This window comes from Homo sapiens, chromosome 5 (assembly GCF_000001405.40).
Source record: "Homo sapiens chromosome 5, GRCh38.p14 Primary Assembly".
NCBI classification, from domain to species: domain Eukaryota; kingdom Metazoa; phylum Chordata; class Mammalia; order Primates; family Hominidae; genus Homo; species Homo sapiens.
This window is the reverse complement of record NC_000005.10, coordinates 90,794,030-90,809,848: the sequence shown is the minus strand read 5'-3', so window position 1 is coordinate 90,809,848 and position 15,819 is coordinate 90,794,030. Positions and strand designations below refer to the sequence as shown.

At 40.6% G+C, this 15,819-nt stretch overlaps 1 protein-coding gene across 14 annotated transcripts in view, besides 1 other annotated feature; it reads right to left on the bottom strand.

The window, feature by feature from the left end:
- The window catches only part of ADGRV1 (adhesion G protein-coupled receptor V1), a 605,641-nt gene that overhangs the window by 354,589 nt on the left and 235,233 nt on the right, over window positions 1-15,819 (bottom strand). For 12 of the 14 annotated variants that reach the window (NR_003149.2, XM_017009963.3, XM_017009969.3 and 9 more), the window contains 3 exons: window positions 6,967-7,110; window positions 4,391-4,565; window positions 2,112-2,247 (listed from right to left, as the gene is read on the bottom strand). Coding sequence is in view for 13 of the 14 variants with exons in the window: in XM_017009963.3 (XP_016865452.1) it covers window positions 2,112-2,247; window positions 4,391-4,565; window positions 6,967-7,110 (455 nt within the window). In the remaining variant the exon portion in view is untranslated. The remainder of the gene's footprint in view (window positions 1-2,111; window positions 2,248-4,390; window positions 4,566-6,966; window positions 7,111-15,819) is intronic. The other 2 variants (XM_017009968.3, XM_017009971.3) reach the window with 1 other exon arrangement.
- Window positions 8,310-8,510: a silencer, noted in NCBI's record as "peak5350 fragment used in MPRA reporter construct". NCBI's record gives its function as "represses an SCP1 promoter by STARR-seq MPRAs in K562 erythroleukemia cells {active_cell/tissue: K562}" and the evidence as "EXISTENCE:reporter gene assay evidence [ECO:0000049][PMID:32103011]".

Below are 15,819 nucleotides of genomic sequence, written 5' to 3'. Positions count from 1 at the left end.
ATAGTTACTGGCACTAGCAGTAAAATCCTTGCTTTCTTCAGCTGCCAGTAATGGAACTAACCTCTCATGCAAATGTGGCTAAAACTTTATGTATGAATGAGGACAGACACCCATGATAGAATCATTTATTCTTAGTTTTTTTCCTATAGATTTTTGTTGTGAGTTAATAGCTATATCAGAGGTTACAACTGCTGGTCTCTCGGCCTAATTCTGTCTACAGGTTTATTTTCTTTTGCTAACAAGTTTTTGGTTTTAATATAAATTTAAATGCCTTTAGGGAGGATTCTTCAGGTCCCATTACTCTCTCTTGTCAAGCAGCCAGCACTCAGTACATAAAACAGTGGTTAATACCTCACACAGAGGCCATTCAGCCTGGGTTGAAATCATGGCCCCAACATATATTAACTGTGTGCTTCTGGGTTTATCGCATAATCTATCTATGACTTTCGTCATCTATAAAATGAGACAAATAATATAATCTACTTTGTAAGGTTGCTGGGGAGAGTAAAGAGAGACAGAGCGTGTGTGTGTGTGTGTGTGTGTGTGTGTGTGTGTATTTATGCCCGGCCTAGAGTAAGCACTGTAAGATTTATGCCTGGCCGCGGTGGCTCACGCCTGTAATCCCAGCACTTTGGGAGGCCGAGGTGGGCGGATCACGAGGTCAGGAGATCGAGACCATCCTGGCTAACACAGTGAAACCCCATCTCTACTAAAAATACAAAAAATTAGTAGGGCACGGTGGCAGGTGCCTGTCGTCCCAACTACTCCCAGCTACTCGGGAGGCTGAGGCAGGAGAATGGCGTGAACCCGGGAGGCGGAGCTTGCAGTGAGCCGAGCTAGCACCACTACAGTCCGGCCTGGGCGAAAGAGCGAGTCTCCATCTCAAAAAAAAAAAAACATTTATGCCTGGCCTAGGGTAAGCCCTATAATACTACTTCTTGTTGTTTTTGATACGGAGTCTCACTCACTCTGTTGCCCAGGCTGGAGCACTGTGGCGCGATCTCAGTTCATTGCAACCTCTGCCTCCTGGGCTCAAGCGATTCTCCTGCCTCAGCCTCCCAAGTAGCTGGGACTACAGGCACGCACCATCACACTTGGCTGATGTTTTGTATTCTAAGTAGAGATGGGGTTTTGCCATGTTGGCCAGTCTTGTCTTGAGTTCCTAACCTCAGGTGATCTGCCTGCTGTGGCCTCCCAAAGTGTTGGGATTACAGGCGTGAGCCGCCACGCCTGGCCAAGCACTATAATACTGTTAATAACTATTGTTGCTGTTAAAGCATTTGAATTTGTAACCCTAAAATATGTTCTCTGGATGAACATTTTAAAAATGGCATATGTATAATCTAAAGTCATATTTTATTTCCCCAATGGAGATCCCCCACACATAAACATGTACACAAACATACTTGAATACACTCTAGTTTTCATACCCCAAAATTTTCTTTATTTTACAAGTAAACTGAAGAACAGAAAGATCAAGTAATTTTCTCAAAGTTACACAGCGAGTAAGTGGCAGAGCCAGGACTAAATCCCTAAGTCTGAATAGCAGGTCTGCCCTCTGCTGCTCTGGTCGAGTCTATCCCAGAAATAAGGAAAGTAAATTGCTTTTGGCTGGTACGTATTTATCTGCAAATATACTGTATTTGCAGAAACAGTCATTATAGATACATAGTAAAATTCAATAAAATTAAATTAAAGTCAAAGGGCCACTGGTCCAAATAAGTAATATTATCACCCTACTGTGATGTCTTATTCTTACTTAATCTTATTCTTACTCTTAATCACTTGGGGCAATCAGGTATTTTCAGCTTCTCAGAAGATAGCTGTCTTTAACAAGAGGAGAACTGCCATCATGGCTCTTAGTGGAGATGGTACCCCAGACCCCATTCTCAAGGTGGGGCATGAGGAGCTCTCTTTAGAGCAAACAGTGGGTGGTGGGGCTCCTAAGAGCCACCTCCCTCTCCAGCATGCACGCCACGTGATGCTCTACACTAAAACTATGTTTGTGTTTGCTTCAAGGAGAATAACCCTTGTGCCTTTTTCTGTTTTGATGGATGAATTCCAGATTATTCCTCAGAGAATTTCTTGGGTGAGAATGAGGTTGGTCTTACCGGAGTTGAGCTCCGCCAGGAGCACTGCTCTGCACTCCTGATAGGTGAAGAACAAAGGCCTCTGGCCAACCAGGGCTAGGAAACGTCCACAGGAAAACTCCTTTCCTTTGTTCACCGTGGGAAAATGAAAGGCTCCCTGAAAGAAAACATGAAAAAGCAAAGTAGGGTATTATTTCTTTTCTTAAATTGGGATTTGACTTTTAAAACTGTAGTAGTGTATTTTCTTTTCCAAAATTCAATTATAGTTCACAAAAGGTAAAACATTTTTAAAAAGGGGTCGGGGGAGAGGTAAACTTACAGGAGACCACACAAATCTTGCTTTCGGTCCCTGTTTACTTTTCTCCTTTATATCTTTTTCTTTCCTGGCTCAATGACAAAATCCAGTAGTGAAAAGATACTGGTGTTAGGCAAGCTTTAATATAGACTTAGTGTCAGGCTTTGGTTTAAATTCTGGCCCCAGCATATTTTTAGGATACATATTGAAGTAGATTGGGGTGAAATATCATAATCTATGTATTTTACTTTAAAATGCTTCAGAAAAAATGTCACAAATATAGCAGACTGTAACAACTATTAAATCTAGTCAAGGCCAGGCACAGTGGCTCACGCCTGTAATCCCAACACTTTGGGAGGCCGACGAGGGCGGATTCTGAGGTCAGGAGTTTGAGACCAGCCTGGCCAACATGGTGAAACCCCATCTGTACAAAAAATACAAAAATTAGCCAGGCATGGTGGTGCGAGCCTATAATCCCAGCTACTCAGGAGGCTGAGGCAGGAGAATACCTTGAGCCCGGGAGGTGGAGGTTGCAGTGAGTTGAGATGGCGCCACTGCATTCCAGCATGGGTGACAGAGCAAGACTCTGTCTCAAAAAAAAAAATTAAAAATAAAATAAATAAATAAATCTAGTCAGTGAGTTTATGGGTGTTCACTGTACTTTCCATTGTGTTTGAAAATTTATTACAAAGGCTCAAAAAACTAAATGAACCTGTTTGAAGATACAGATCTATTATTTGGGAACTCCTGTTATTTTAGCTGAATCAAGTTAACATAAACTCACAAAAGCGTTTGAAGACTAATGTGATATGTAAGCACAAAGCCGCATATACACTCATAATAAGCAATATTTCTACACATAAGTCTTTTCATATGTAGCAAGTGGTTACTAACATAAAAAATTTTTGCAAACACCCTAGATTATATGAAGCTATGCATATCACCCAAAGTGACAGAGGGGTAAGGAAGTAAAAGACAAGAGTTTCTGCAGGAAAAAAAGGGCTAGAAAATAAACAGGAAAAAATAATTAAATATCTTTAACTTAGGGGACATGCCAAAAGGAAAACAAGAGGAGACAATGTCTGAGACATCACATCAGGGGCACCTATGCAGTGGCTAAAGAAACCCCAGTATCCAAGGCAGTTATCACACTATGGTGTCTCTCAATCACGCAGCTAATTTCTCTCTTTCTGTTTTCTGGGATTCCTGTTAGGATGGAAGCTGGCATGAAAATGTTGTCATTTTCACTGGCCTAGCCCTCATCCCCCATCTTCTATAGGACCTTAGCTTTCATTCCTTCTTATCTCTCAGTGATGCCGAGATCTTGGGAAAATGAAAATCATTCCCTCCTTTCTGAGAGACTGAGGATCTCAGTCCTCTGCAGGATTCATTAGGTTTCTTACTGAGTGTAAATGGCGTTTGGCTGGTGACCAACAAGACCCTGTGAATCAAGGAGGGAGATCCTCAGATTCAGAGCCCACTGGAGGGTTCTTTATAAACTCTCATTATCTAAATTTGCAATGAGCTTGCTATAACACGGTAGAGGTCAAACCATCTAACATTTGCATCTCACTAGCTCTCAAAGACCTAATGGTATACTTTAAAAAATAAAGTATCTAAAGTAACAGCTGCCCTACTGCCAGAAATAGTCAGGTGAACATGGAAATGCATACAAGAGCTGTATGTATTTTTATTTTTCTTATTACTGTATTTGCCAAATTAGATTCTTAGAACTACTTTCAACAAACTCCTATTGTATGGACAGAGTAGTTTGCTTAGTGACCCCAGTCTTTTGAGGTAAGGCATGGAGTTGTTAATTTGACTGAAAAAAGCTTCTCTCCTTTTCTCACCAAGCAGCCTGCACTACTCTGATCACTTAAATATGGGAGCATTGTATTCGAAAACTACATTTAGTGTCCAGAATAAGGATAACCCAAGACAATTAGTGGCCAGTGATATCCTTCCAATATTCTACAGGACTCATCTTAGAAAAACTACAACTCACCCAGTGTTGGGGTCATGTTGCCAACAACAATGAATTCAGGAATTTCTAACCCAGGAGCATATCCAGTGGTCCAGGCAACCGAGAGAGCTCCATATGTGCCTCTCCTAGAAATCATAACGTGGCTTGTGCCAGCAGTGATGTTCATGAGTTGAAAAGCAGTGGATTCAAATCCGACCTGAGGGAAAATCATGCTTAGAGTATTTTATTTCTCTCTAAACCTTCCTGTTTTCTGAGGAATGGGTTAAACGTAAACTTTCCCTTGGTTTATACAATATATATCCTTGTCTCATACTGAATTAAAGAGAAGTGCTTAAGAAATAACATCTCAGACTTTAAAATTTATTTTACTTTATTATTTAGGTTATAGTTGATAGCTTTTTCTTTTTTTAATCAAAACGTTATCTTTTGAATGAACAACATCCAAAAAAAGATAAGCATAATTATGGTTAAATGAAAGCAAAATATGTTAAATGGCATTTAATATGACTTGTTCATGGGTCTTTCCAGAACCTCATTTGTAGAACTAAAATTTGACTTCTAAGATATAATAGTGTATTTTTTCATTTATAAAGTAAGCACCATGAACTAGACCTTCTATTAGGGTTCTTTTCAGCTCTGACTTAATTTTATATCTTTTTTTGAAGACCAGAAAACTTCAAAGTTTTTTTTTAATACCCATCTTTATCACAAGCATCAAGTAAGATTTTGTTTTATGTGCAACGTTCCCAGGGTATGTGATTTATAGATGAAATAAGTTCTGAGCAATGAGTAAGAATAAAAGCAGATTCCTGGCTTCACATTTTGATTTGAACAATTCAGTTTACCTCTTTTGGTCTCAATAGCTATAAATTTGGGATACCATTTAATCAAGAGTTATATATTAAAACTCATTCTCCCCTTCTTAAATTGGAATGAAGAATAACAGAAAAACATGAGAGGGTTCCGCAGGATAACTTCTGGAGCCACAGAGGAAAAGAAACAACAACTACTTTAATTTGACCCCAGCCTAGATTCTCTGTTACAGTGAGGCTTCTCTTTTTCTTCTTTTTTTTTTCTTGAGACAGAGCGTCGCTCTGTCATCCAGGCTGGAGTGCAATGGTACGATCTCGGTTCACTCCAACCTCTGCCTCCCAGGTTCAAGTGATTCTCATGCCTCACCTTCCCCAATAGCTGGGACTGCAGGCATATGCCACCACATGCAGCTAATTTTCTATTTTTAGTAGACACAAGGTTTTATCACGTTGGCCAGGCTAGTCTCAAACTCCTGACCTCAGGGGATTCACCCACCTGGGCCTCCCAAATTGCTGGGATTAAAAGCATGAGCCACCATGCCCAGCCCAGTGAGGCTTCTGCTTAGCAACTGCCAAAAGCTTTGAGTGAGATCATTCTTGCTACATGACTAGAGGGCTATTTTGAAATGCCCTAGCCACATCACACATACACACACACATGCGTGCACACACACACCAAACACTGATACAAGTATAGAGGTTACACCAAAGATGTGAATGTACCATGATGGACTCTAACCTTGCCCTTTGGGGTGATACAGTATTGTGACAATGTGCATGGATAAGGAGTAGGAAATGTTTTCCTCCAAATGAATGGTTTTGCTGAATCTTTTTTTTTTATAACAACACATGAACAAAAAGAAGACAACAAAATTCAAAGCATTAATCAATTCTATTTCCTCATTCACTCTTAAAGAAGAGGAGGTAAAGAAAAAAAAAACCTTTTACTCTCAGTTATTTTAATAGCCAGTGTATTCTATTTTAAGAGAAAAAGCACATTCATTCTCCTTGGAGAAGATGCTCAGGCGGGAGTAGCTGAAGAGCATCCCTTAGTGGCCAGAGACTATATCTGCCCATATTCCTGCCCATTCATCTGTACAGATTCCACCTCAGCATCTTGAGCCAGGCTTGCCCGAGTCACTTCAGCTCCCACCTGAAGGAGTAGGATAGAATTATATCACACAATGGCTTCAAACATACACACGTTACCATAGCCACAGATAACAGCCTTGTCTTTTTCATATATTGACAGAATCCGCCTGAAAGGAAAGGAAAGCCCTCAAGTTGTTCTTTGTTCTCATGTGCATTTATGAAATGATTGGGAAATAATCTTTCCTACAACGACCTCAGACAGAAGATGCAAATACTTAGTTGCAACCATATCACAGGATCTGACCATCAGCATTTATCTACATCAAGACAAACTCGCCCCTGTAAACCAAAGTCTGAATATTAAACATAAACATTCACAATGTTAGTATGCGAAAAAGTGTGGAATATTAGTGCTTCATTATAATTTTAATTATTTAACATAAAATACCTCAATATTAGATACAAAATATCAAGAAGAGATATGGACATATCTCTTTTTTTCCTACTGAATGTTGAAAATAGACTAATTATTTTATATAATATATCTGTTACATCTACTTTGATATTCACAGAGTTATTTATATTTAAGAAAATAGTTACTCATGAGAAATTCTAGCTCTAAGAGTCTCCGTCCTTCCTGTAAAAGCTGCCCTCTAGTGTTCTGCTGAGAGAACCACACACAGGGCCAATTACCTGAGAATTGGCAGCTTTCTCAGAGACTGGAAGGACAGCAGATTTTGCTTCCTGAAGAATTGTTGGCATTCCATAGAAACGTCCACCGACAAGCATCACAGTCACCAGTTGCAAAGTGAAATTAGAGCCCAGTGATAGGAAGACCTATAAACAAACAGTGTCAGTGATTTAGAAATAATTTTCAGAGAAAAATGCTGTTCTTTGACTTGAGCCATTAGCATAATGCCTGAGGTTGCTTTAGTAGCAAACAGTTTCATCAATACATGCACTTTTCCCCATCACAAAACAAACCACCAGTATGTAGGGTGTGAGATAAGGAGTGGAAGATGTAGAGTATAAAAAACTACAAATTGGCTGGGCACAGTGGCCCACACCTGTAATCCCAGCACTTTGGGAGGCCCAGGCGGGTGGATCACTTGAGGCCAAGAGTTCAAGACCAGCGTGGCCAACATGGTGAAACCCTGTCTCTACTAATAAAAAATAAAAAATAAAAATAAAAATTAGCTGGGCTTGGTGGTGCAAACCTGTGGTCCCAGCTACTTGGGAGGCTGAGGCAGGAGAATCATTTGAACCCAGGAGGCAGAGGTTGCAGTGAGCTGAGATTGTGCCACTGCACTCCAGCCTGGCAACAGTGCAAGACTCCGTCTCCCCTTCTCCCCCAAAAAAGAACAAACAAAACTAAACAAAAAAAACACAAATTTTCAAATTTTTCACATGTGCCCAAATGGCTTCACCAATGACAGTAGCCACACAGGCAGTGTTCATGATAGGATCAAGTATCAAGAAAACGGAAGGGGCACTCTGGCAAAGTGTCAGCTCCTATAAACTTGGCAAAACTCACTTTCCTCCTCCTCATTGAATAATTTCCTCCTCCTCATTGAATACTAATAATTCATCATATTTACTCAAAATGAATAATTTCAGTGTACTGATTTATGTTGGATAAATAAAAATTAATCCTATGTGTTACATATTTTCAAAATTTTAGAATCCAACAAAATAGGGGGAATCTGGAATTTATGTATTGATGTTATGCAAAAAGTTATTTTTGAAACTTACAGCACATTTTCCCATAGAAACGTTGGTCTTGGTAATAACCCCCAAGTTATCTCACAACCTGGAATATTCCCAAAAACTTTGCATATCTTGATTGAATGTAAAAATCAACCATTTCTGTAAAGTCTCTTCTTCTTTTAAATATAATGAATTTAGACAACACATCCTCAAATTTGCAAAATATATACCATGATGGTTTCAAATATTGGGCAACATGAGGGTAACAGGTGTTTTATTCATTCAAAATGACATTCACTGAACATGAATCATGGGTCAAGTGCTAAAAAAAAAAAACAAATAAATCACAGAAAAATTTTAATCATGTATATCGCACCTCTCCTGTAAGAGTGTACCCCTCCCCCCATGAAAGTCACTGGCTGGGCAGCTAATGATTTTTCTTTATCTTTATTTTCCTAAGAGTGAATAGCCAGGTGTCAGCTTAAAGCACCAGGTCACTTGTGCCTTCCCGCCTAGCTCCTCTGCTCACAGGCCCATCCGGTACACACAGATTTGTATGATGTGGCAGATCCCCAGGGAGCGGTAATTAAATGCTAAAATGGAACATGAGTTAGAGCAGATTTGAGGAAAAGCTGGTTCACCTACAGAAGAAAAGAGGTTAGATTAATTTAAAAATGAATTTGAAAGTTTTTAGGAGTTGATCATGTTCTCAATACGCTCTTCCATTTCCGTAATCCAAGACTGCATCACCAATACCATTTTCTATACTGCCTATCATTCGTTCTTTATTTTTATTATTATTATATTTTAAGTTCTAGGGTGCATGTGCAGAATATGCAGTTTTGTTACATAGGTATACATATGCCATGGTGGTTTGCTGCACCCATCAACCCGTCACCTATATTAGGTATTTCTCCTAATGCTACCCCTCCCCTAGTGCCCACCCCGACAGGCCCCAAGTGTGTGATGTTCCCCTCCCTGTGTCCATGAGTTCTCATTGTTCAACTACCACTTATGAGTGAGAACACGTGGTGCCTGGTTTTCTGTTCTTGTGTTAGTTTGCTGAGAATGACAGTTTCCAGCTTCATCCATGACCCTGCAAAGGACATGAACTCATCCATTTTTATGGCTGTATAGCATTCCATGGTGTATGTGTCACATTTTCTTTATCTAGTCTATCACTGATGGACATTTGGGTTGGTGCCAAGCCTTTGCTATTGTGAATAGTTCCACAATAAACATATGTGTGCATGTGTATTTACAGTAGAATGATTTATAATCCTTTCGGTATATGCCCAATAATGGGATTGCTGGGTCAAATGGTATTTCTAGTCCTAGATCCTTGAGGAATCGTCACACTGTCTTCCACAATGGTTGAACTAATGTACACTCCCACCAACAGTGTAAAAGCATTCCTATTTCTCCACATCCTCTCCAGCATCTGTTGTTTTCTGACTTTTTAATGATCGCCATTCTAACTGGTGTGAGATAGTATCTCATTGTGGTTCTGATTTGCATTTCTCTAATGACCAGTGATGATGAGCATTTTTTCATGTTTGTTGGCTGCATAAATGTGTTCTTCTGAGAAGTGTCTGTTCATATCCTTTGCCCATTTCTTGATGGGCTTGTTTTTTTTCTTGTAAATTTGTTTAAGTTCTTTGTAGATTCTGGATATTAGCCCTTTGTCAGATGGATAGATTGCAAAAATTTTCTCCCATTCTGTAGGTTGCCTGTTCACTCTGATGATAGTTTCTTTTGCTGTGCAGAAGCTCTTTAGTTTAATTAGATCCCATTGGTCAATTTTGGCTTCCGTTGCCATTGCTTTTGGTGTTTCAGACATGAAGTCTTTGCCCATACCTATGTCCTAAATGGTATTTCCTAGGTTTTCTTCTAGGATTTTTATGGTTTTGGGTCTTACTTTTAAGTCTTTAATCCATCTTGAGTTAATTTTTGTATAAGGTATAAGGAAGGGGTCCAGTTTCAGTTTTCTGCATATGGCTAGCCAGTTTTCCCAACAGCATTGATTAAATAGGGAATCCTTTCCCCATTGCTTGTTTTTGTCAGGTTTGTCAAAGATCAGATGGTTGTAGATGTGTGGTGTATTTCTGAGGCCTCTGTTCTGTTCCATTGGTCTATATATCTGTTTTGGTACCACTACCATGCTGTTTTGATTACTGTAGGCTTGTAGTGTAGTTTGAAGTCAGGTAGTGTGATGCCTCCAGCTTTGTTCTTTCTGCTTAGGATTGTCTTGGCAATGCGGGCTCTTTTTTGGTTCCATATGAAGTTTAAGGTAGTTTTTTCCAATTCTATGAAGAAAGTCAATGGTAGCTTGATGGGGATAGCACTGAATCTATAAATTACTTTGGGCAGTATGGCCATTTTAACGATATTAATTCTTCCTATCCATGAGCATGGAAATGTTTTCCCATTTGTTTGTGTCCTCTCTTATTCCCTTGAGCAGTGGTTTGTGGTTGTCCTTGAAAAGGTCCTTCACATCCCTTGTAAATTTGATTCCTAGGTATTTTATTCTCTTAGTAGCAATTGGGAATGGGAGTTCACTCGTGATCTGGCTCTCTGTTTGTTTGTTATTGGTGTATAAGAATACTTGTGATTTTTGTACATTGATTTTGTATCCTGAGACTTTGCTGAAGTTGCTTATCAGCTTAAGGATATCTGGGGCTGAGATGATGGGGTTTTCTAAATATACAATCATGTCATCTGCAAACAGAGATAATTTGACTTCCTCCTTTTCTATTTGAATATCCTTTACTCCTTTCTTTTGTCTGATTGCCCTGGCCAGAACTTCCAATACTATGTTAAATAGGGGTGGCGACAGAGGGCATCCTTGTCTTGTGCCAGTTTTCAAAGGGAATGCTTCTAGTTATTGCCCATTCAGTATGATATTGGTTGTGGGTTTGTCATAAATAGCTCTTATTATTTTGAGATACATTCCATCAATACCTAGTTTATTGAGAGTTTTTAGCATGAAGGGCTGCTGAATTTTGTCAAAGGCCTTTTCTGCATCTATTGAGATAATCATGTGGTTTTTGTCATTGCTTCTGTTTCTGTGATGGATTACTTTTAATGATTTGCATATGTTGAACCAGCCTTGCATCCCAGGTATGAAGCCGAGTTGATCATGGTAGATAAGCTTTTTGATGTGCTGCTGGATTTGGTTTGCCAGTATTTTATTGACAATTTTCTCATCGATGTTCATCACAGATATTGGCCTGAAATTTTCTTTTTTTGTTGTGTCTCTGTCAGGTTTTGGTATCAGAATTATGCTGGCCTCATGAAATGAGTCAAGGAGGATTCCCTCTTTTTCTTTTGTTTGGAATCATTTCAGAAGGTAGGGTACCAGCTCCTCTTTGTACCTCTGGTAGAATTCGGCGGTGTATCCGTCTTGGCCTGGACTTTTTTTGGTTGGTAGGCTATTAATTACTACCTCAATTCCAGAACTTGTTATTTGGTCTATTCAGGGATTCGACTTCTTCCTGGTGTAGTCTTGGGAGGGTGTATGTGTCCATGAATTTATCCATTTCTTCTAGATTTTCTAGTTTATTTGCATAGAGGTGTTTATAGTATTCTCTGATGGTAGTTTGTATTTCTGTGGGATCAGTGGTGATATCCCCTATATCATTTTTTATTGTGTCTATTTGATTCTTCTCTCTTTTCTTCTTCATTAGTCTGGCTAGCAGTCAATCTATTTTATTGATCTTTTCAAAAAATCAGCTACTGGATTGATTGATTTTTTGAAGCATTTTTCATATCTCTATCTCCTTCAGTTCTGCTCTGATCTTAGCTATTTCTTGTCTTCTGCTAGCTTTTGAATTTGCTCTTGCTACTCTAGTTCTTTTAATTTTGATGTTAGGGTGTCGATTTTAGATCTTTCCTGCTTTCTCTTGTGGGCATTTAATGCTATAAATTTCCCTCTAAACACTGTGTTAGCTGTGTCCCAGAGATTCTGGTACATTGTGTCTTTGTTCTCATTGGTTTCAAAGAATATCTTTATTTCTGCCTTCATTTTGTTATTTACCCAGTTTTGAGTGAGTTTCCCAATCCTGAGTTCTAATTTGATTGCACTGTGCTCTGAAAGACTGTTATTATTTCCATTCTTTCACATTTGCTGAGGTGTGTTTTACTTCCAATTATGTGGTCAATTTTAGAATAAGTGCGACGAGGTGCTGAGAAGAAGATATATTCCGTTGATTTGGGGTGGAGATACCTGTAGATGTCTCTTAGGTCCACTTGGTCCAGAGCTGAGTTCAAGTCCTGAATACCCTTGTTAATTTTCTGTCTCATTGATCTGTCTAATATTGACAGTGGGGTGTTAAAGTCTCTCATTATTATTGTGTGGGAGTCTAAGTCTCTTTGTAGGTCTCTAAGAACTTGCTTTTTGAATCTGGGTGCTCCTGTATTGAGTGCATATATATTTAAGATAGTTAGCTCTTCTTGATGCATTGATCCCTTTACCATTATGTACTGGCCTTCTTTGTCTCTTTTGATCTTTGTTGGTTTAAAGTCTGTTTCATCAGAGATTAGGATTGCAACTCCTGCTTTTTTTTTTTTTTTTTTTTTTTTGCTTTTCATTTGCTTGGTAAATATTCCTCCATCCCTTTATATTGAGCCTATGTGTGTCTCTGCACATGAGATGGGTCTCCTGAAGATGGGTCTTGACTCTTTATCCAATTTGGCAGTCTGTGTCTTTTAATTGGGACATTTAGCCCATTTACATTTAATGTTAATATTGTTATGTGTGAATTTGATCATGTCATCATGATGCCAGCTGGTTATTTTGCCCATTAGTTGGTGCAGCTTCTTCATAGTGTCGATGGTCTTTATAATTTGGTATGTTTTTGCAGTGGCTGGTACCGGTTTTACTTTCCATGTTTAGTGCTTCCTTCAGGAGCTCTTATAAGGCAGGCCTGGTGGTGACAAAATCTCTCAGCATTTGCTCGTCTGTAAAGGATTTTATTTCTCCTTCACTTATGAAGCTTAGTTTGGCTGGATATGAAATTCTGGGTTGAAAATTCTTTTCTTTAAGAATGTTGAATATTGGCCCCCACTCTCTTCTGGCTTGTAGGGTTTGTGCTGAGAGATCGGCTGTTTGTCTGATGGGCTTCCCTTTGTGGGTAACCCAACCTTTCTCTCTGGCTGCCCTTAACATTTTTTCCTTATCTCAACCTTGGTGAATCTGACAATTATGTGTCTTATGGTTGCTCTTCTCAAGGGGTATCTTTTTGGTGTACTCTGTATTTCCTGGATTTGAATGTTGGCCAGTCTTGCTAGGTTGGGGAAGCTCTCCTGGATAATATCCTGAAGAATGTTTTCCAACTTGGTTCCATTCTCCCTGTCACTTTCAGGTACACCAATCAAACGTAGTCTTTTCACATAGTCCCATATTTCTTGGAGGCTTTGTTCATTCCTTTTTATTTTTTTTTTCTCTAATCTCGTCTTCTTGCTTTACTTCATTAAGCTGATCTTCAATCTATCATATCATTTCTTCTGCTTGACTGATTCAGCTATTGATATTTGTGTATGCTTCACGAAGTTCTTGTGCTGTGTTTTTCAGCTCCATCAGGTCATTTATGTTCTTCTCTAAACTGGTTATTCTAGTTAGCAATTCATCTAACCTTTTTTCAAGGTTCCTAGCTTCCTTGCATTGGGTTAGAATATGCTCCCTTAGCTCGGAGGAGTTTATTATTATCCACCTTCTGAAGCTTACTTCTGTCAATCATCAAACTCATTCTCTGTCCAGTTTTGTTCCCTTGCTAGCAAGAAGTTGTGATCCATTGGAGGAGAAGCAGCGTTCTGGTTTTTGGAATTTTCAGCATTTTTGCTCTGGTTTCTCCCCCTCTTTGTGGATTTACCTACCTTTGGTCTTTGATGTTGGTGACCTTTGGATGAGGTCTCTGAGTGGATGTGCTGCTCCTTTCTGTTAGTTTTCCTTCTAACAGTCAGGTCCCTCTGCTGCAGGTCTGCTGGAGTTTGCTGGAGGTCCACTCCAGACCCTGTTTGCCTGGATATCACCAGCAGAGGCTGCAGAACAGCAAAGATTGCTGCCTGTTCTTTCCTCTGGAAGCTTCGACCCAGCGGGGCACCTGCCAGATGCCAGCCAGAGCTCTCCTGTATGAGTTGTCTGTCAGCCTGTACTGGGAGGTGTCTCCCAGTCAGGATACACGGGGGTCAGGGATCCACTTGAGGAGGCAGTCTGACCCTTAGTAGAGCTTGAACGCTGTGCTGGGAGATCCACTGCTCTCTTCAGAGCCGTCAGGCAGGGAAGTTTAAGTCTGCTGAAGCTGCTCCTTCAGCCGCCCCTTCCCCCAGGTGCTCTGTGCCAGGGAGATGGGGGTTTTCTCTATAAGTCCCTGACTGGGGCTGCTGCCTTTTTTTCAGAGATGCCCTGCCCAGAGAGGAGAAATCTGGCAGTCTGACCCCAGCAGCCTTGCTGCGCTGTGGTGGGCTCAGCCCAGTTCGAACTTTCTGTTGGCTTTGTTTACACTGTGAGGGTAAAACCACCTACTCAAGCCTCAGCCATGGTGGACGCTCCTCCCCCAACCAAGCTGGAGCGTCCCAGGTCAATCTCAGACTGCTGCTGTGCTGGCAGCGAGAATTTCAAACCAGTAGATCTTAGTTTGCTGGGCTCCTTGGGGGTGGGACCTGCTGAGCAAGACCACTTGGCTTCCCGGCTTCAGCCCCCTCTCCAGGGGAGTGAACGGTTCTGTCTCGCTGGCATTCCAGGCACCACTGAGGTAAGGGAAAAAAAAAAAAAAAAAAAAAAACTTCTGCAGCTAGATCGGTGTCTGCCCAAACAGCTGCCCAGTTTTGTGCTTGAAACCCAGGGCCCTGGTGGTGTAGGCACCAGAGGGAGTCTCCTGTCTGTGTAGGTTGTGATGACTATGGGGAAAGCACAGTATCTGGGCCAGAATGCATGGTTCTTCAGGCTCAGTCCCTCATGGCTTCCCTTGGGTAGGGGCAAAAATTCCCCAACCCCTTGTGCTTCCCAGGTGAGGCGTCACCCTACCCTGCTTCGGCTTGCCCTCCATGGACTGCACCCACTGTCCAACCAGTCCCAGTGAGATGAACCGGGTACCTAAGTTGGAAATGCAGAAATCACCTGCCTTCTGCGTCGATCTCACTGGGAGCTGCAGACCAGAGCTGTCCTATTCGGCCATCTTGCCAGCAATTCCTGCCTATTGTTCTTGATGGCATTGGGCACAAACAGAAACGATTTATGGTACCTTAACACCCTGTGCACATGCCAACACTATTTATCCACATGCTCTTATAACTGGCTGTTCATACACTAGACAGGGAGCAACATGGCACCAGGAATTATTTCTCAGTCATCTTCGTATCTGCTGAGCTTCTCACAGTGATTGGCACATAATAAGTGCTCAATAAATGACCCAGCCACAAATATAAAATTCCTCTTGCATTCTGAAAAAGTATTTCAAGCCTAGGCTTGTTTCTTTAGCAGGTCAATGATTCTTATTGTCAGTCTGTGCCTCATAAAAAAAAGCCAGCTGTTAACCAGGTGTTAACAACTTACCAGGTGCTAACAGTTGACACTCGAAGGTTCTGGTGTTAAACCTACATCAAGACTCTTTTGTTCTTAGAGCCTAATGGAAACCTACCCTGTTAAAAGACCCACTTGCAGGTTAGAAGCCACAGCACAGAGGGTTAGATACATCATGGCCCTTGCGGTCCTTCTCTGTGGCTTACCTGTCCAAAGTCTCAACTTTTATCCAAGAAGGTAGAAGAGGGAGGACAGGATGTAAACTCTTGTAACTAATATCCCAATCTTCAAAGAGCAATGGGTTATATACCGGGTGAGAG